Consider the following 22443-nt stretch of genomic DNA (forward strand, 5'->3'; position numbering starts at 1 on the left):
GGCTCAGCCCATTGTATTTTGAAGTAGGATTTTCCTTAATGAAAAAAGTCTTTTTCATTATTTCTGTCCAATCGACAGATAAAGAATTTATGAATTCCAAGTCACAAACTGGGTTAGATTGTCGCCTGCCACTCTTCCTCTCCCTGCCATTTTTTTTTTTTTGAGATTCTGAGAATTTTCCCATTATAAAATAAGTCCACTCCAGTGCAGATAATTCCTCACTCACATGCTCTGAAATTCTTGCTTCTGCCTAAACCCTGTCCTGTCTCTGTGATTACTCTTTTAGACATAATCTTTGTGGCTTCACCCCTTGTTGCAGAATAAGACAGTAGCCCAGCAGGCCACACTCTCACAGGGGCAGGCCTGGGACTTTGCCTATAAAATAGAAAATCAGCTGCCCATTTTTTCAATTCCAATGAATGTGTAACTATCAAAGAGCTTATTCCATCTGGTCCTGTTCACAGAAGACTGAGAGACGACAGACAGGAATGTTGATGGCCAAACCACTTAATTTCTATTGAGTCTAAAAAAGAAATGAAGAACAGTTCTAGGCTGCCAGAAAACAGAAGATAAGCATATGGTTGTTAAAATTACAAGAACAACTGGGGCAGAGGAGACAAGCTGCTTGCAATGGCGTAAGGATTTCTACGTTGCGTTTTGATCCACACCCACCCTGGCAATGACTGCTATTGCATAAGCCTTCAATTCTTCAGGCCTGTGCAGATACTGATTTAGAATTGGTCTCTGGCTTGTTATGAAACGAAGCTCTTTCATGGCACAAATGTGGAGCAGAGGCGAACCTGGTTTGAAGATGCCTATGAGACCTATATTCTCATCCTGCCCCTCGGGCATGAGTCACCACTTCCCCCTAAAATATGGAAAAATGCTAAAGTGACTTTCATGTGGGATGTACAATTGGTAATGACTGAGTTGGGAAAAACACACAACTCCCTGAACTATCCACATGCCATGAGTTCTCAAGGCAGTCTTGCTGAGATATTATAGGAAGTCTAACATTCTGCTGACTTGTCCCATATGTCGAGAGTCTAACAATTTTACAAACAAGTTGTTAGAGGGAAAGAGGACAGTGTCTTCATGGTTGTCAGAGAGACCCAAGCAAATGACAGCATGTAGCTCCTTGGTATCCTGGCATCACTGGCCTTGGAAAATTTTGCTGCAATGATAGCTCTGTTCTCCTACATCAAAATAGGGACTTAATGAATTTGATTTGTGAGTGCTATTAAAAACCCATCTTCTCTTCTTTGAACAAGTAAGCCTGGTCAACTGCCTGTGCTGAAAACCACTGAAGTGTGTATATCATATGTTTTACAAGACTCTAGTTCTATTGAGTCGGGTTGAAATATGCTTAAGAGCATGTGATGGTTAATTTTAATGCATCAACTTGACTGGGCTATGGGATGCCCAGATAGCTGGTGAAACGTGATTTCTGAGTGTGTCTGTGAGGGTGTTTCTGGAAGAGATGAGCATTTGAATTGATAGACTTGAATAAAAAAGATCCACCTTACCCAGGGTGTGTGGGCATCATCTCATCTGTTGAGGGCCTGAATAGAATGAAAAGGCACACGAGGGTAAATTCACTCCCTCTCAGGTTGAATTGGGACACCTATCTATCTCCCGCCCTCAGATGTTGGTGCTTCTGGTTCTTGGGCTCTCAGACTCAGACTGAGACACCAACGGCTTTCCTGGTTCTCCAGCTTGCAGACAGCAGATCGTGGGATTTCCTGGCTGCCATAATCACATGAAGCAATTTCTATAATAAATCTCCATATTTATGTATAAAACATATATTCTCTGGGGACCCTCGGCTGATACCAGGTGCACTTGTTAAAAATCATTTAGAGTGGAGAAGATGAGTAGCTTATCTTTCATATTTTGCCTCTGACATGGCTATTGTTAAACTCGGAAAACCTGTATCTTCCCAGACATGAAGAAATTCACCTTCAACTACCACAAAGACCATGATTTGGTGTTTACAAGTTTATTTAGAAACAGGTATTTTTTAAAGTGGTTCCATATTCTTTTACGTTCCTTTAAGGAAATATAATAATATGATTATAAAGGAAAGGTGGATTGACTCACGGTCATCTCTATGAGACAGGAATAAGCAAGGGGTTGCACTTACAAGCTGTCCTTTTGGGATTTTTTTAAAATCATATTCACATATATATATATTACATCGTGTAAAAGACTTGTGATGGTTAATACTGAGTGCCAACTTGATTGGCTTGAAGAATGCAAAGTGTTAATCCTGGGTGTGTCTGTGAGGGTGTTGCCAAAGGAGATTAACATTTGAGTCAGTGGGCTGGGAAGGCAGACCCACCCTTAATCTGGGTGGGCACCATCTAATCAGCTGCCAGCACGGCCAGAATAAAAAGCAGGCAGAGGAATGTGAAAAGACTAGACTGGCTTAGCCTCCCAGCCTTCATCTTTCTCCCATGCTAGATGCTTCCTGCCCTCGAACATCAGACTCCAAGTCCTTCAGTTTTGAGACTCAGACTGGCTCTCCTTACCCCTCAAGCTTACAGACAGCCTATTGTGGGGCCTTGTGACTGTGTAAATTAATACTTAATAAACTCCCATATATGTATCCTATTAGTTCTGTCCCTCTACAGAACCCTGACTAATATAAGACTGTAGAGAAAAACTTCATGTATGTAACAGGGACCCTTGCATAACATAGAGCTTAGCTTATACCAGAAGATAATTGTTTGATGAATGAACAAATCCTTTCAGGGTACAATAATTCAAAGCTTTTAATACGTTTAGCATAGCAACAAAAATCCATGGAGTCAACACAGCTACAGGCAGCCGATCCCTGTAAACATCCCCAGGGCACTCTCTAAAACTGTAAATTCGGCTCCTATTTTTTACATTCTAACACACCCTCTGTTAAGGCCACTAAGTCACTCATCTCTCAGGCAGGATGAAACAGAAAATAGCTTAAGGACTAGCGCTTTCAGCCCATTGCTGTAGGTTCACCAACCTCAATGCTACCTCTTATTCTAGACTGGTATCTGCAGAGTGAGATACTATTCTCTCTAGTCCCAGATCATATGCTTCTTCCATAGGTATAGGTAAGGTCACCAACCAAAAAATGGAGTCCATACTCTGACAAATACAATCATATTCATGGGAACATTTTAATTTGAGTCTATCCTAGAAAACTCAGGTCATTTGGTTGTTTTGTAGTGTTATGTTCCACGGTTTTGATATGGCTGTAGCTTTCTAGAGATTTCCTTGAATGATAGGAAAAATTTTAAAGAGAAAAACTGATTTCCACATTCGAGTTGCACTTCAGATGGAATTTGTGGGCTGCCAAATTCTAGCCTCTGCGGTAGGTTATTCTGCTCACAGCTCTTTCTAATATTCAGTAGAGCGGGCTTCTCAAGTCCACCCACGACCCCAAGAGTAGAGGCATGTGGACTGAAACCATGGTGTCTGGGAAGAGTTGGCACACAATGTTTTTGTGGTTTCTCTTTTTGTTTACTTGAATTAACATAAAAACAGTGCTTTAAATCATTTACCACCACGCAAATCACCACTTGAGGATGCTGGGTCTCTGTTTGACCCCTTGGTCCTGGTGTTCACTCTCCCTTTGTGCCTGCCACCCTGCAGGGGTCCTGAGGAAATCATGAAGGTCACTACACTTTAAATATAAGTGATGGGAGTGGGTTAGTGGAAATAAACTCCCACAAATATACAGGAGATGAGTATGTGTATGTACAGCATGTAAAATACCTTCTCCCTGCACATGTCTAGTGGTGACCCTGAGCTGGCTTCTCAGTGCCATCCTTAACTTGAAGAAAAAGGGGAAGGAAATGATAATATATGCTTGGAGTTTCAGATAAATAATAGCGACCATCACAACCATCTGGGGAGTGAGGTATGATGAGGCTTATTTTATGGATGAAACATCAAAGCTAAAAGAAATAAAACCACTTCTACAATGTTTTATAGGACAAAGTATGTATCCTTTTCCAAATACATATATATATAAGCAGGAAGTATGCTATCTTTGAGGTATTCTTTAAGGCATGATCTCGGCTTCTTCTAGTTCGTTCATATACAGAATTTCTACGACACCCCAAATGCACCCCAAGAAATGTACTTGGGATAGCTATTCACACGGGGGCCAATTAGGGCAGCTGGATAATGCTTTCTTTCTTGTGAGTATAAAAAGGAGAACATGAGAGGGATACACCAATGAGGTACACCTTCTGCCCAGTTTTGGGGAGAAATATGCAAACTTATTTTTAATGTGAGCTATAAGTGCAAACTTTGTTTCTCTATATTGTATTTGTAAAAGTTCTCAAACATTCTCCCAGATATGTGTATATGGTATTATAAAAGAAATGCATAAAATATTATGCCTCAGACTTGGAGTAGAAACATGGCGAGTGTTCCAAAATAATTTTTTTAAATGGAGCTGATTGTCTAAGAACCTGGAATGAGTTTTGAGGAAGAAACAGAGGGAAAATCATTTTTGTATTTACTAAAATGAAGGCAAAACTATGAAGTCTTTGTGTCTGGGACTTTTGGTAAAGCTTTCAGTGAACACCAAATGGATGAAGGAAATAAAGATGTGTTATTCACATGTTACTCTGGTTACTTATAGGAGTCAGAGTTTAAGAATAGTCTCTGAAATGAAATACTCCATACGTGAATCATCCATTACAGTCTTCAAACAGGTTCTATACTAAAGAGTGTGACAAGCGTTTCTTTAAAGAATGAACAATCAGGTGTCATGGAAGTACAGAGGGGAGTGGTTGAGGAAGTCAGCCCAGAGGAAGCAGCACCTGAGCTGAGCTCTGGAGGTGGTGAGTGATGGGTCAGCAAGGGGGTGGCGGAGTGGACATTCTAGGCAGGGACAAATTCACAGGAAATATGAAAAAGACTAACAGTAATAATTGTTCATTTTTAAGCTTGGCTACGAAATGCAGTGGTCCCATTTGAACTAAAATCTAACTCTAAGAGGTCACTGAAGTAGAAAAATGGAACTTCTTCACCACATCTTCTTCTTGAGGGGAAGTAAGCCTGTCCTCGTATCATTAGACTGGCCCAGTGACATGCTCCTGGCTACAGCTCACTGTCTCAGGGAACGGCAGATGTCTGAAGCCAGGCAAGGAACACAGTTGGTGTAATTCACATATGGGATATTCTTAGCATTGAATACTGTTTTCTTTCAGTCGCTTAGGGTATAGTATGGTTCTTTGTCAAAAGATGACAAAGCGCTGCCTTGGTTATTCAGTTTGTGAAATGAATCACAATGCTTTAATAGAATGAAATCTGTCTACTGTGAATCTGCATTTGAAGTTAAGAGATTCTACTCTCAAAGTGTTTCTCTTAATGGGAAAGATGCCCAACTAGCAATTCTTGTGGAGGCTACAGAAATCCCCACAAGAAAGAGGAATGAAGAAGCTGCACAAAGAGAAATAGAGAAGAGAGAGAGAGAGAGAGAGAGAGAGAGAGAGCCTTAGTTAGTTTACTGAGAGAGAACGTGCTAGTCCCTGATTCCAAATGCATCCTTGCCCTTGAGTGCTGTGAAACTCTCCTGTAACATTAAAATGCTTTCCACTAGAATTAGTGGGTTTCTAAGACTTAAAATAAGAGCATTTTATATACACACATTTATATGAAGACATCATAAAGACAATAATCTCGTTATATATTTATATACACACTTAAATGACATAATAATAAAGACCAGTCTAATGGTTTATTTGCCTCTGTAGAAACCATCAGAGACTATTAGTTTCTCCAAGCATTAATTGCTTTGTCTGGTCCAGGGCATAGTTTTTCCTTGAAATACAGTCTTACATTCTCCTCAGGATTTTAGGAGCTATTGCTGTTTTCAGGTTAGTAAGTGAGGCCTTCCCCTCTGAAGGCGTCAGGTTTATGAAGAGTTCATTTGAAGCTGTGCATAGGGTAAATTTACCTTCAACTACACAACTCAGGTGTGAGACGTAGATAAAGCTTCTGCTCCAGTACATACGTGGACACACACATTCATCTATTTTGGGGCTCCACTTAATGTATCAATGTTTATGAGTGTACCTCAGAACAGCACATAGCAGACATAGCAAACATAAGCACTTTACACCGAGAACACTAGATTTTATTAACCACTTGAAATCCCTGGAGGGAAATGTCATTTCATTAGGAGGCTCCTTGGCTGCTAATCAAGGGCTTTTCATTTCCTTAAGTACATTGATCTGGTAACAAATTTTCTTCTCTGAAAAACCATTCGGGAAAGCATTTTCTAAAAGCAAAGTAAGAAAGGTCTATTTATCTTTGGTAAATACAAACACTGAAGAATCACCAGGAATTAAGACAGAATAGAAACCATGTGTCTGTACCCTCATAAGATACTGGGACTCCCACCAAATCCATCATATAACTTATTACGCACCAAAGTCTTCCTTCACCACCACACATCCTATCTAAGATGTTTGCTGTTGTCATTTACATCTGGGACCCTAGTTAGCATGAAGATGCCATGTTCTTTTAGTTACTTGAAGTAAACTATGGTAAGTTGTCAAAAGATGACAAGGCACTGCCTTGGCTGTTAGGTTTATGGAATGAATCACTGTGTTTAATAAAATTAAATGTGCCTTTGGGATTCTCAGCACATAGCACAATAAATGTTAAGTCAGGTATAAACTGACATTTTGGATTACAACACTGTTGTATTTTCCACTCAAATTTAGCTGTTTCTGAAAATGTATATGATTCAAACAAACACAGGAGTTCAAATCAGTGCATTTCTCACATTCCGTTCTGTTATTCATTTAGTCCAATGTTCAATTTAAAGCATGCATCTTAACTAGGATGTTCCTAGTTTACAGTAAGCAGTGTCATGCAGTAGAAAGATCATGGGTTTCATGATCAGGCCAGATTCTAATTTCATTCTTCCCACACAGCTCTATGTGACCAGGGCGAGTTTCTTAACTCATTGAGTTTTTGCTTCCTTTTAGGTAAAACCCCAAGAATACCATCTGACTGCCATCCAAAATTATAGCAAATAATAAATAAGATTAAGAATTAATATGCCTACACCTCTGCCTGGCATGTAGGAGACACACAATAGAAGTCACTTCTTCCCTGAAACTCCCACATTTATGACCCCACTATCTTGCCTACAGCTAAATCCTTTGTGAGCTTTATAAATCTCTAGATTTTTGATAGCATTAAAGCATCTCCAGTAACTTTTTTTAAAAAAGGATCATAAGTTAAAATATTCTATTTTCCTTTACTATGGCTATGGTTTGAAATATGCCCCAAATTTAATGTGGTGGAAATTTAACCCCCAAATTCATATGTTGATGGCATTTGGAGATGGGGCCTTTGGGAAGTATATTAGTTCATTCTCAGGTTGCTATAAGGAAATACTCAAGACTAGGTAATTTATAAAGGAAAGAGGTTTAAATTGACTTACAGTTCTGCCTGGCTGGGGAGGCCTCAGGAAACTTAGAATCATCATAGAAGATGAAGGAGAAGCAAGGCACATCTCACAAGGTGGCAGGAGAGAGCGTGTAAGAGAAAGCGAGGGAGTACCACACTGAAATCATCAGCTCTCATGAGAACTCCCTCACTATCATGAGAAAAGCTTGGGGGAAACTGCCCCATGATCTAATCACCTCCCACCAAGTCCCTTCCTCAACACATAGGGATTATAATTCAAGATGAGATTTGGGTTTTGGACACAGAGCCAGACCATAACAGGAAGTAACTAGGATTATATAAGGTCGTTAGTATGGGGCTCCCATGATGATGGACTGGTGGCTGTTGCAGGAAGTCAGGGACCCTGAATGGAGAGACCTGCTGAACCCGCAGCAGAAGAACATAAATTGTGAAGATTTAATGGACATTGTTCCCAAAATGAATACTTTTATAATTTCTTATGCCTGTCTTTACTGCAGTATCTGAACATAAATTGTGAAGATTTCATGGACACTTATCACTTCCCCAATCAATACTCTTATAATTTCTTATGCCTGTCTTTACTTTAATCTCTTAATCCCATCATCTTCGTAAGCTGAGGATGTATGTCACCTCAGGACCCTGTGATGATTGTGTTAACTGTACAAATTGTTTGTAAAACATGTGTGTTTGAACAATATGAAATCTGATTGTAAAACATGGGTGTTTGAACAATATGAAATCAGTGCACCCTGAAAAAGAACAGAATAACAGTGATTTTCAGGGAACAAGGAAAGATAACCATAAGGTCTGACTGCCTGTGGGGTTGGACAGAATAGAGCCATATTTTCCTTCTTGCAGAAAGCAAGTAGGAGAAATATCACTGAATTCTTTTCCCAGCAAGGAATAACCATGGGGAAGGAATGCATTCCTGTGGGGAGGTCTATGAATGGCCGCTCTGGGAGTGTCTGTCTTATACGGTTGAGATAAGGGATGAAATACGCCCTGGTCTCCTGCAGTGCCCTCAGGCCTACTAGGATTGGGAAATTCCAGCCCGGTGAATTCTAGTCAGACCAGTTGTCTGCTCTCAAACCCTGTTTCCTGTTAAGATGTTTATCAAGACAGTGCATGCCCAGCAGGACATGGACCCTCATCAGTAATTCTAATTTTGCCCTTGCCTTGTGATCTTGCTCTGCCTTTGCCTTGTGATCTTTTATTGCCCTTTGAAGTATGTGATCTCTGTGACCTACTCCCTGTTCATACATCCCCTCCCTTTTCAAAATCCCTAATAAAAACTCGCTGGTTTTGCAGCTCGAGGTCTCCATCACGGTCCTATCAATATGCGATGGCACCCCTGGAGGCCCAGCTGTAAAATTTCTCTCTTTGTACTCTTTCTCTCTATTTCTCAGACCGGCTGACACTTAGGGAAAATAGAAAAGAACCTACGTTGAAATATTGGGGGCTGGTTCCCCCAGTAGTTGGCTTTATAGGAAGAGGAAGAGAGACTTGAGCTCCAAAGCTCTTGCTTTCTCACCATGTAAAGAAGAAGGCCCTCACCAGTCTTGGACTTCCCAGCCCCCAGAACTGTGAGCTAAATAAACCTCAATTCTTTATAAATCATTCTGTCTTGGTATTCTATTAGAACAACAGAAAACAAACTAAGATAACCACTTAATTTTGTATTTTTAAATCTCACTTTTTCTCCCCTTTCTCCCTTATGCAGCAGAAAAAAATCATGGTAAAATAAGATGCTTAGCACATGTTGGGTATTTCAGATTGCCATTTGCCACATTTCCTTTCCACCAGGTGCCTTTTAGCTGAGGTTGCCATAAGCACTGACATCTCTTAAGCAAGTTCATAGTGGGCCACTAAGGGAGAGACACAGACAAGGCTTAAAGAAACCCACATCACCTACCATGATGATTAAGATCAAAATCTACTTTTAAACATAAAACTGAACACGTTTTAACTAAAGAATTAATTGGCTTCATGAACATTATCTTTGTAATAATTTGAGAAAATCTAAAAGGTATGGAAAAAATGTGACAACTTTTCATTTTCTTTCCTTGTGACAACTTCATTTATTTCTTGCAGTAAAAGCAAAATCAGGCTAAGAACATCAACAGGAGTCTGGAGATTTGCAACAGTCTCTATTGATGCCTTGAAATTACTGATTATTTATTAGTTCCTGTAAAACCTTTGAAATTTTCTCATTTTTGAGATTGTAGTCCACTTACACAATATAATGAGTATATACAAGGTTTTGGTGAACCCAAAAGGCTAGTCGAAAACAAGCATGAGAAAAATGTTGCAGGAAATTGCCAAGAAAACAACAACATACTTGGCTTGTTGGAGGTTAAGGAGTCTATTGTTTGTAAGGAGGTTTCTGCTGGGTCTTTAAAAACATATACTAATGGCCATAACGGGACTTATTTCAGTCGGAAAACTTGAAGACAAAGAATTCATTCTGTGAATGGACTGTGACTTTCTTGGGATTCCTTAGGGTAGAAAATAAACACTTTCAGTGGTTATTTTTCCCATGAGACAAAACTGAAATATTTCAGCAGAGCATACCTTATCCTCCCAGCTGCTCCTCCACGCTGTGCCTGCCTCTCTCTTATCTCTTAATCCACTTCCCTCACACCCTGCGTTTCCCACACTCTGTGCAGTTCCTCAAAGTGCTGGGCGATTTTACAACTCCAGCCTTTGCCAGTCTCGCTTCCTTGCTAGGAACGTCTGTTCTCCTCTGCAAGATCACTCTTCCCTAAAGCATTCCTGACTCCCTCATTCTCATGGAAAATTGACCACTCTCTCTTGTTTGGGCCCCCATGATTCCCCATAAATATGTGTATTCTAGACCCTATGATACATATTGTTTTTGCTGGTTTATGTACCCATCTCCTTTAGTAGTTTGTAAGCCTCCTGAGGTCAGGGATCATTTTTAAGTCACCTTTGTTTCTCACCGCCCAGGGCACAATGGGTGACCTATAAAAGATGGTGAATAAATGGGAGCATATGGCAGAGGCAATAGAAACTTGGAGCTACAGGGAATGCATAATCAACAAAAAACTAAGGTGCTGATGGCAATTAGTTCCAAAAGCAGGTGCTTAGAGACAATGAACAGGTAAAGAAGCAAACACTGTGAGTCATGCAGAGAGATGAATGGTAAGTAAACATGACACTAAGTATTTAAATTTTTAACAATATGCTCAAGATCCTTCCATAATTTATTATTAACATATTTTTCCTTTTTAACATTGGAGGTTGCTTAAAGGTGGTCCATACATAAAAGGTCACTTGTAATTGTATAAGCAGGTGCAGGTTCCAGAAAACTTTCCACTACATACGAAAAAGGATCACACAAAATATAATGAGCAAATGGAGATGGAGAAGAGCAAGAGAAAGAAAACTGGCTCATTTATTCGGGAAGCAACTGTTGAACCCTATAAGTCTCAAAGACTGCACCAGCTACTGGATGAATAAGGTTGATATGGTTTTTCTTCCTAACAAGCTTGCATTCCAGAGCAGAGGATGATGGTAAATAAACAAACAAGTAAACAAATTAATAGTTGACAATTTCGATAATGAGTGCCATGCAGACAATAAAGAGAGCACGTGACAAAGCAGTGCCTGAGGGCTGGCTTTAGCTTGGCTGGTTAGAAAGGGCCTCACATGGAACTGGCACTCACGCTGAAGCCCCATTCAACAGAAGAGTTGTGGGAGCATCTGCGAGAAGAATGTTCTTGGTGTTGGTGAAAAGGGTCAAACTCTGTAAAATATTTGGAGAGGCTTGTTCTGAGCCAAATGTGAGGACCATAATCCATAACACAGCCTCAGGGGGTCCTGAGGACATGTACCCAAGGTGGCTGGGCTACAGCTTGGTTTTATACATTTTAGGGAGACATAAGACATCAATCAAGACATATAAGGTGTACTTTGGTTCAGTCTGGAAAGGTGGGACAACTCGAAGGTGGGAGGCTTCCAGGTGGATTCAAAGACTTTCTGATTGGCAGTTGGTTGAAAAAGTTAGGTTATTATCTAAACACCTGGACTCAATAGAAAGGAGGGTCTGGGTGAAGATAAGAGGTCGTGGAAACCAAGGTGAAGCCTCCAGTAGCAAGCTTCAGAGACAGTAGGTGGTAAATGTTCCTTATCAGACTTAAAAAGATGCCAGACTCTTAGCTTATTCTCTCTTGGATCATGGAAAGGGAAAGGGGTTCTCTGTAGAATGCAGACTTTCCCCATGAGACAGCTTTGCTGGGCCATTTCAAAAGATGTCAAAGAAATACATTTTGGGGTAAAATACTTCAACTTCTTTCAGGGCCTGCTGTCTATCTTGTTGGCATCATTGCTATAAACAGTCTGTTTTGTCGGCAGATTTCTGTTTTAATGTTCATGCTGGTCAGTGCCTGAACTCCAAAGGTAGGAGGGTATAAGGAGGGATGTTCAACTTCCACTTCCCACTGTGGCCTGAACGAATGTTTTCAGGTTTCTTTGGAATGCCCTTGGCTGAAGGTGAAGGTTTCTTTGGAATGTCCTTCGCTGAAAATGGGGGGTGGGGTCCATCAGTCGGGTGGGGGGCTTAGAATTTTATTTTTGGTTTACATGAGCATACGGAATGTGTGAGTCTGTGCAGTCAGAATGTGTTTTGAGTGCTTGAGAGACCAAAAGGAAGCTAGTGTAGGTGGGAGGACAGGAAGGATTCAAATGATGAGGCTGGAGGAGGAGAAAGAAGGCAGGCAGCTAACAGAGTGCTTTAGAGGTCCCAGAGAGGAATCTGGATCTTATTCCAGATGCATTTTAATTAAAGGGGTGGAAAAAGATCTGACTTCTATTTTTTTTTTTTTCTTTCTTTTTTTGAGATGGAATCTCACTCTGTTGCCAGGCTGGAGTGCAGTGGTGCGATCTTGGCTTACTGCAACCTCTGCCACCCAGGTTCAAGCGATCCTCCTGCCTCAGCCTCCCAAGTAGCTGGGATTACAGGCACCTGCCACTGTGCCTGGCTAATTTTTGTAGTTTTAACAGAAATGGGGTTTTTGGCCAGGCTGGTTTTGAACTCCTGACCTCATGATCCACTTGCCTCAGTCTCCCAAAGTGCTGGGATTACAGGCGTGAGCCACTGCGCCCAGCCCTGACTTCTATTTTATAGACAACACTTTGCCTGCTGTGTGGATACTTGATACTAGGGGGCAACTGGAAGCTGGGCAAGGCTGGCAATAGTCCGGATGAGAGATGACGGTGGCATGAACAAGGTGCTGGGAGCAGGGAGGAGAGCATTACAACCACAGCAACTACCGGAGTAGAGAGTATGCAGAGGAAGAAAATTTCCAGAAACACTATACAAATTGAATAAAAAACAGTGTATGTATATGTGTGTGTGTGTGTGCTTGCAAGTGCAAAAGAGAGAGAGAAGCATTACTAAGAGCAACAGCAACAGGGGGACCCAGTAGGTGTTGGGCCGTGACTACAGATCCGGTGTGAAGGTGCCAGGCTTTGCAGCTTCAAACTGCACACAGGCAGATTCTGCAGGGCCTTGAGCCTTGTAGGACATGGTATGGGGTTTCAGTGATGTGAAAAGCAATGAAGAATGGCTACTGACAGGTTGTAGAGGCATGAGAGCGACAGGATATATTTGACTTTGAGCAAATTGCATTTATTTTACAGTAAGGACTGTGAACTGGTGGGTCCCAAGATGGGAGTCCAGGCTCGCCATGATGGCATGGCTGCCAAGGGAATTTCTCCTCCTAAACACAAGGTCCACTTAGATCCCTCTGGTGGCTGAGATCACTGCTTACCTTGCGGTGCACTTAACTAAGCCCTTGACTTCTTTACAAAACTCTTAGCTCACTGAAGGCAGCCACTGCCTGTGATGTATTTTTCAAACAGTTAATAGTATTTCACACACAATATGCAAGAAATACATATTTCCTGGATGAATGTTCCACGTTACATGATCATTTTTGCCCTGGTGTGAGGAAGCTTGCCTCTTCTTCCTCTGCCCTTCAACCTCAGGTCCCCCTCTTGTTTCCCCTCCACTGAGGGTGGTGGTGGGGCTGTCTTCCCTCCTCAAATACACCTGACACCTCTGGATTGGTGGTTAAGCCTGAACATAATTACAGTTGGGCAGCTGGTACAATTTGTTAGTACCCATCCGCCTTCTCTTGTAGAGCCCCTGGGACTCTTGTAGTCAAACCTGCTCACGGGTCTAGTGCCTACCTCTATGCCCCCTCATCCCTGCCTGTGCCAATGCACTGCACGCCAGGCCAGTGGAGAGGTGGGACACGGAAGGAATCTTGAGAAGCTCTCAAGAACCTTAAATTATTATGTTAAGGTATACCATGCTAATTAGACTAAAGGCACGTCCCTCCACCTGGATTTGCATTTTTACATTAGGGGAAACACGGCATTAAACATTTTTAAAGAGCAGTGGCCTAGAATAGGAATGATGGGATCTGCCTTCTTTCAACAATGTGTATAATATAGACCTTTATTGAGTGCCTGTGTGTGCCAGGCAATGTCGGGTACTGAGGTTGAAAAAGAGATAAAAATGATATGCAGTCCTATAAGGATATTTTAATTCAGTTAGGGAGACAGGTACATGGATGGATCATTACAGTACTGTGCAACGTCCTATGCTTATTTCCTTCTGGAATTTATCACTATCTCCAATTCAATATACTCACAGCTTTAATTCATAAACAAAAGACCACATGTTTAATATACTGTCTTCTTATTTGTTTAGAATTGAGTTATTTCACAGATTAGTTTAGAAATACCAGTGCTATTGCATAGGATTATTTTCATTATTCAGTTTTCAAGTTTTTTATCTTGCCAGGGTCTTTAAATTCATTTATCATCCTTCTTCTTGTTTAGAATTAAACCTCCAGTTTTAATGGTATTTTTATGATTTCTAAGCAGACATACTCAGAAACTGTAATTGGAGTGTGGACCTAGGTGGAAGATGTGTGTCACCTCCAAAGTGTGAAAAATCAGCTTGTCCATTTTTACATTTTTATTAATCTATCAAATGCTATGATTGTGAATTAAATATAACCTCTTCATTATAAGCCTTTAATTTTCTCCCCATTTTAGTGTTGTTTGTACAATTTAGAAAGGGCTATATTTAACAATATGGGGTTCTTTAATTTTTTAGCTATGAAATAAAGCATAAAAAGAAGATAAAGGTCTCTACAGGAACACAGATTATTATTTACAAAGATTAACCACAAGCTTTCCATGTTTTCCATCCTATTTATTGTGGTCTGCAAGATAAGGTGAAGTATGCAATGGCTAACTCTTGTGTTATAGTTAATTTTAACTCTCTTATCAATAAGCAGATGCCTTTTCAAGTTATAAAAAGTGTGCCATTATTACTATCAACTGGAGAGAATGAGGTCATTGTTCTCATTATACTATAAAAAGCCGGAGTGTAACAGAAGGGCAAAAACATACCTCAAGAAAAACACTCATGCCACCAACAAAATACCTTTGAAGCAAAGAATATCACATTGAATTTTCCCCACAACTAAACATTAGATTCAAAGAAAGAGATTAAAAGCCCTGAAAAGAAGTGGTCTCTTAGAATTAAAGGACCACGTTTATTTTTGTGATGCTCCGTTTATTACTTGTACAGTAAGACTTTTACATGCTGATTTGTAAACTTTTCTATAAAGCAAAAAACTAGGATAGAAACATCCAGCTGAAACTTACTATTACATTTGAAGATTTGAAATCATCACCACTATCACTATATTTGCTTCATCAAATTTAATTTTAAAGATTTGGGAAGTGGAGGCAGGCAAAGAATTATTTAACAGTTTACTAAGAGAAAACGCCTTGGTAAGAGCAAATAGATCACTGAACGGCCGGGTGCGGTGGCTCACGCCTATAATCCCAGCACTTTGGGAGGCCAAGGCAGTCAGATTGCTTGAGGTCAGGAGTTCGAGACCAGCCTGGCCAACATGGTGAAACCCTGTCTCTACTAAAAACACAAAAAATTACCCGGGCATGGTGTCAGGTGCCCGTAATAACAACTACTTGGGAGGCCGAGGTAAGAGAATTGCTTGAACCCAGGAGGCAGAATTTGCAGTGAGCTGAGACGAAGCCACTGCACTCCAGCCTGGGCGATAGAGTGAGACTCTGTCTCAAAAAAAAAAGAAAAAGAAAAGCATATCCTGGACGGTGGGTTGTGTGTACTGAGAATGGGGGAAGGATGAACGGGAGGGGCGGACAGCAGAAGAGGAGGAGCCGATGCTTTGGGCTCAATCTTTACCTGCCCCGCCTGGTCCATATTCTTGCTACCTTCCCAGCTCCCAAAATGAAAGCTCAGTTTCGACATTACCATGGGCATCTTTCTGTTGCGTTTTCCTGTCTTTGATATGGCTGCCAAGATGGAGTAATTTAGAGTTCCCTTTATTATTCAAAGAGAATAGTTCACATAAGTTTAGTTATCAACCTCCAACTCAAGTGACGGAAACGTTAAGAGGTGCGGTGACAACAGCGCACCGCGGCCCCCTGCACAGGAACAAGGGGCGGGAATTTCAGGGACTCCACTGTGGCTGCTGCATCTACCTGCTGGCTTCCACTCCTTGCCCCACTCCCCCATCCTCATCAACACCCACTAATTTAACTCTATTGGAAATCATCCTCCTGGTTGAAGTGTCATATGCAAACCTCAGACCTAAAATCAGCAGATGTATTATTACCGGTCTCCCTTGAGAACTGGTTAAAAAACAACAACAAAAATAAGAACAAAACCTGAAAGACTTAGGAGATCTATAGGCTTTAACGGGTATTAAGTTCTGGAATGGGAACACGGAAACGTACAGAACACCATTTCAAGAACATCCTTCCTAAAGGAATGAGTTCATCCACTCAGGACATTTTCAAGGCACTCTTAGCCTAACTTTTAGACGTTTCCTTCCACTTTAAGCACGTTATATTTTTCTTTAGTCCTCGATAATGTGACCTCTGGTTCTGGTCTCAGAGAACGCTAGTCAAGCTGTGGCACCATCGGGTTTTAAAGTCTGCTCCCAATTTTTTATCAGATACTGTACTATGAAAATTCTAGCTCTTTCTTGATAAACATGCCTTTTAATTTATCTTACACAAGGTGCTGAGATTTTTCTTTTAATGATAAAACAGGGTTGGCTCTGAAATACCAACTGTCCACAAACTGGTTTCAAATGGCATGATGTAACTAGGCTTTTTGCCATGGGTCTCTGTGAACTCTCGCCCAGGAAATGCAGGTTTTGATATGTACAAATTGCCAAAGGAAATTCCAGAAGGCCTAGAAAGCCTAAAAAATGCAGCCATATTTAAGAGTGTTTTCTGTTTTCTAATTCTTGCATTGGTTTCTGTGGTTAAAAGATTCCTGTCACCAGCCAGTTGTCATTGTAAGATACTGATTACCAAGGAGTGGCCGGGGTTGCTAGCGTTCCCTGAGTACCAGTGCTGAGATTAAATGTGCCAGTGTTCCCAGCCTCTCAGCAAACAAACCAAGCGCAGTGTTTACCAGGAAGCTGAAATGGAGAACCTGTCCCAAATCAGACTTAATTTCATTTAATTCACTTACCCTAATTGTTAGTAAGAAGACTGAATTTAAATTAAACACTTTGCCTTGGAACTGGGTTTTACTTAAATAGAACTGTCCCTCCTATGGAAAACAAGTATACACTCACATGCATATTGCACTTAATGCACATTCAATTTTGTAAGGGACATGAGCCCCATTCAAGAGCGTCATGTTTCTTCCTCCTGTTTCTTGTTCCATCCTATACAGTGGAGGTAATAACGGATTCGCTTGCTTTAGTTCAAATCATTAGAAAGAATTATTTCTAGGCAAAACAGAGACAGTTTCACCTCATTTCTCTTTTTTCTCCATCTCAAAATTGACAGTTCTAATCTACATAACAAATTATACTTTATGACAAGCTACTTGTTTCCTATCTTGAATATTGTCTTGAAACCTCAGTAAAACTCGTAGATTACTGCCACCTTGCAATTTATTTTATCACTATTGCTACCATATCCTGAATTGCCAGCACCAATAAATGTACATTTCTTAATACAAATTGCTTGTTTCAGTGTGCATTCTATGCCCAAGCATTGGCATTACAGAACAAGGGAATAAAGGCAGGACTCTGAGTTATGAGAAAATAACACAGTGCTCTAATGAGGAGAGATCTCCTTCAGGAGTAACGCAATGTATACTAAAATATTAAAGGTTTATTTTATTTTATTTTATTATTTATTTATTTATTTTGAGATGGAGTCTCACTCTTTCACCCAGGCTGGAGTGTGGTGGCGCCAGCTTGGCTCACTGCAACCCCCGCCTCCCAGGTTCAAGCGATTCTCCTGCCTCAGCCTCCTGAGTAGCTGGGATTATAGGCATGCACCACCACACTCGGCTAATTTTTGTATTTTTAGTAGAGATGGGGTTTCACCATGTTGATCAGGCTGGTCTCGAACTCCTGGCCTCGTGATCCGCCCGCCTCAGCCTCCCAAAGTGCTGGGATTAGAGGCATGAGCCACCGCGCCTGGCCAGAAGGTTTATTTTAAAGATGAAAATAGAACTTCCTATTAGCAAAGGGCTAAATAACTTTTAGCTACTTTAGGCTTTGAGTTATGACAAGATGATCCCTCTTCACCTGATATGAAAACAGGCACGAGTAGAGAGAAAATGCACCAGGGTGGACGGACTTCCTGTCATGTCTGCAAGATCTATGTTTGCATATCTTTTATTTCATTTTCATCTATAATACAGTAGGTGGACAATCTTAGTCCAAGAAGTCAGAGGGAGGAATGATCACATTTCTTGTTTAAGTCAGCTCAAATTTGAGTTCAACCATTGGACTGACAGGAAATGAAACCCAAATCATCCCTGCTTGCTTGCTTCCTTGAGCTCTATTCCTGTCATGCAAAGGTCCTGACACCGGTCTAGGCTAGGATTGAAGGGAGGTCCCAGGCATTAGGACAGATGTAGTCCATTATCGACTCTCTCTAAATTACCTTCAGGTCTGGGGACTCTACTGCTTGTTGCCATACTTGGCTCTGGGAGTCCCCAGAGAGGCTGGGGCACCTACACCTCGAGGGGGCACCGTCTCTAGGGGCATTACACAGCTAACCCTCAGGGGTCCCACCAACTATTCATAGCACAAATAGTGTCCCAGCTCTATCTCATCTGTTAGAAAATCTCTCCCTCTTGAGGCCTTTAAAGGCCAAGTCCTTTCTTCCCTTCCTTCGGGACATTCCCTAATCTCAGTTCATTTCAGCCTCCATAAAAGACAATAAGTGCCTCTAACTTCCAACAGGAATTTAGTTAGAGGGGTAGAGTAACAAATAGAAATTAAAAGCTTCTACTTTCCTTTCTCTTTTCTTTTCTTTTTTTCTTTCTTTTTTTTTTTTTTTGAGGCAGAGTCTCACTCTGTCACCCAGGCTGGAGTGCAGTGGCACGATCTTGGCTCACTGCAACTTCCGCCTCCCGGGTTCAAGCGATTCTCCTGCCTCAGCTTCCCGAGTAGCTGGGATTACAGGCGTGTGCCACCATGCCCAGCTAATTTTTTGTATTTTCAGTAGAGACAGGGTTTCACTATGTTAGCCAGGATGGTCTCAATCTCCTGATCTCGTGATCCACCCACCTCGGCCTCCCAAAGTGCTGGGATTACAGGCATGAGCCACCGTGCCCAGCCGAAAGCTTCTACTTTCTAAAAGACACCCCAGCTCCTAAAATTTCAAGAAGGAGGGATTAGTGCTAGGTTGAGGGGCGTGGAGGGAAAAAACGAAGACGACACAGACAAATGAATATTTTAGTAAATTGCCTCACCACTATTTAATATCATGAGTGTTGGCTAAGCACCACGTTTTTTGTGCCACCACCGGTTGTAATTTTTTTCATGTTGTGCCCTCTCTGTAAAGCCTGTTTAGGGGAATAGAGAAAAGCTAAAGGTGTTCGGCAAAACAGTGACAGGGACGCTGTCTCCATCACCAGGGGCAAGTCATGCTGTGTCAATATTCTACCAAAGAGTATTATTTTTGAATCAGTAGAGAAAAATCCCTTGTCTCAGGCAGTGGTTGGACACTTTGTCAGCTATAAATCACATGTTCGTTAAGTTAGCACAGAATATTCCACTTTAAATACAGGGTAATGAAGACAAACAGAATCCCAGGGGTTCAACCTGGAGGAGAAACAATGCTGATTTTATGGAGCATATGAGAAATACACAATCGCAGCAAACTTCTGAACGCTTGGACTGTTGGCCAAGAACTTGCCTTTGGTGGTGAGCAAGTGAAAACTGACCAGAACTCTGCCTAGTGTGGAAGAGGAGAGTACCACATCAACAAACCAGGCACTGGAATGGGCAGGTGGTTTTCTATTCCAAACAGCAAACTCTAAGAATAGCGATCTTATAAATAATTGAGAGAAAATATTTTCTTAATCTTTCTGACTCACTGGAGAACTGCATTGTGACACTTTTTCTTAATCTTTCTGACTCACTGGAGAACTGCATTGTGACACTTTTTCAGGTAGGAAATGTATTCAGTTGGTAGGAGGAACTGGAATAACTGCAGGTTAAACAAATACAAGGTTTATTTTTTTCTACTGAAAACAGTAGATATAGGCAGATCAAGACTTTTCTGAAGGGCCCACTGTATGACCCCTGTCTCAGTCTCCTTCTGTCTTTATGCTGCTACCCTGGGCATATGCCCTCATACTTGGCTCCTACCAGATGGCTGCTGCACCCTCAGCTCCCACACGCACATTCTAGCAAGAAGCAGCAGCCAACAGGTCAAGAGCAATAAGGCAGATGCGAACATTTCTTGAAGCCTCACTCATTCACCAAGCTGGCTGAAACAGATGCTGGAAAATGTAGTTGTCACTTGTGCATGTTGTCATTTCTGATGCAAATGGGGTTCTCTTACTAAGAAAGGAAATTTGAGTTTGGGTAGGCAAGTGGAGTGTCTGCCAGAGTCACCAGGCAGGGAGCAAAGTCTCATAGACAAATCCATGGAATTGGGAATCACTGAGCCTCATTTCTGCTTTGACTCTGCAGATTTAGCAAATTCCCCAGCTGCAAAAGGAAAATTCTTTTTCTAATTCCAGGAGAATGGATTTCTCGAGGAATAATTTAAAGGTGTCAGTTAATTTATTAACATTTTCTTCAAATAAAATATTCCCATAAGATGCAACCGTTCTTTTATGTATATAAGTTTAAAGAGGATAAAAAGTTGAAAAATCTTTCTTAATTGTTTACTGAGGGAGTAAGACTTTCAACCAACTGTACTGTAAATTAGAAATAAAATAATTATAACAACTAACCACTACAGTAATTTACACTGTTAACACTGCATTTTCAAACTTATTGGGCCATTGTATGCTCTAAACTTCTGCTTTTATCTGCCTTTTAAGTGAGGAAAATGTTATTGTCGTTATCTAGAGCTCACAGATTGAGATCTACTGCAAATAAACATGAATGAAAAGTTGGGTTCCCTGCGTAGGGGAATTGCAGAATTCGTGAAATCTTCAGGAGACGAGACACTGCAGTCTGACATAACACAGCCTGACCCAAGGGGTCGCACAGAAGACTGTGAGCTCTGAGCCCTGCATCTCTTCTTTTCATGACCCAATGCGGGCATCCCAACTACCCAGACAAAGGAGGCTTATTTGAAATAATTGGCAGTCACAGCCACGTTTTCAGTGTTATGTTTCAAACTGTTTGTCTCTGATCCTGTTTGAACTTTGATGACAATATCTGTGTCTCTAATGAGACCGAACTGCTGTCAGCATCTGAAAACGCTGCCCAGCTCGTGTCTGAGGTTGGCACGTTGGACGGATGCTGCGCTCGTTCCTCAGGGGGAACCATGCGGCTCCGGCTTTGCTCTCTCAGGCAGCTTCTGCAGTGAGTGCGCAGGTCGTGAGGGCTGCCCGGTGAATCCTGGGACTGGGCCTTGGGAGAGTTTTCAGAATCCACCTTTGGTGAGGTGATGTGATGGGAAGGAGCCCACTGCTGTGCTTTTACAGACCCAGTGTCAATCAAGGATTCCTTTTTTTTCTAAATAATTCCATGAACATTAAGGAAAGAAGCCACATTCATTCATTTCAACTTTCTGAACACCTGCTATGCCTCCATCACTGTGCGAGGATTTGAGGAGACAGGGTTAGATGGCATTGGTCACTCTCTTTAGCTTCTCTCCATATGCACAATAGTGATTACTGGACCCTCGGGCAAGTTTCAGGGAGTCAGATGAAATAACTTCCCAAATACAAAGTTAATGCAACTATCAAAAAGCAATTAGTATGCACCTTTGAATCAATAAAACCACACAGAGTCTATTCCCCTGTAATCAAAACAATGTTTATGTCTCGTCTTTAAATAGTGTACATGTCAGGCACTTGACAAATATATTTTAAAAGTGAATTTTGTTTTTTTTGTACCTTAACAAAAAGTTAGCCAGGTGAAATCCTTTTTCATTCTTAACAGTGTATTTCAAAATATTCACGTTTCCGAGAATACCGAGGACATGAAGCTCAGAAAAACACTAAGCCCATGAAACAAAGAATCCTTAGAGCGAAAATACAAATCAGCAAAAGATGGATTTTACAAATGGAAACACTAAGAGAGCTTAGGTAACTACAAGTGCTATGAGGAATGCCTGGGCCCTCCAGAAAGCCCAGCACAGCTTCCCTTTACTTACATATAATGCCTAGCGAAGGAATAAAATTCAGGGATGCTGTAATTAGTGGATGCTAAAACCCACACTCACAAGAAAAATACAAGAGCGGAAATGCTAAAATTCTCAAGACATGCAGGCAGTGGTTTCCTGCTGAAAGAGGTTTTGCAGTTCTTCCTTTCCTTGCCTTCACTAATGAGGAAATGTCCTCTATGACAGCAAGTCTTTCTCTCTCCACCCAAAGGCTGTTCTGTAGCTGACCGGCATATTGCAGGTCCTGTGAAAGGTGGAGATCGTTTCATCTGAGTCACTCTTGCTTGGAAATACACCTGT

The 22443-nt window shown here is 41.2% G+C and overlaps 1 protein-coding gene across 10 annotated transcripts in view, besides 1 other annotated feature; it reads right to left on the minus strand.

The window, feature by feature from the left end:
• SORBS2 (sorbin and SH3 domain containing 2) overlaps positions 1-22443 on the minus strand; it is a 370850-nt gene that overhangs the window by 263803 nt on the left and 84604 nt on the right. The window lies entirely within an intron of this gene.
• Positions 14371-14473: a silencer, noted in NCBI's record as "fragment chr4:186784850-186784952 (GRCh37/hg19 assembly coordinates)". NCBI's record gives its function as "represses an EF-1alpha promoter that drives an FKBP-Casp9 reporter gene in an ReSE screen in phorbol 12-myristate 13-acetate-treated (for megakaryocytic differentiation) K562 erythroleukemia cells {active_cell/tissue: K562(+PMA)}" and the evidence as "EXISTENCE:reporter gene assay evidence [ECO:0000049][PMID:32094911]".

Source organism: Homo sapiens, chromosome 4 (assembly GCF_000001405.40).
Source record: "Homo sapiens chromosome 4, GRCh38.p14 Primary Assembly".
Lineage (NCBI taxonomy): Eukaryota > Metazoa > Chordata > Mammalia > Primates > Hominidae > Homo > Homo sapiens.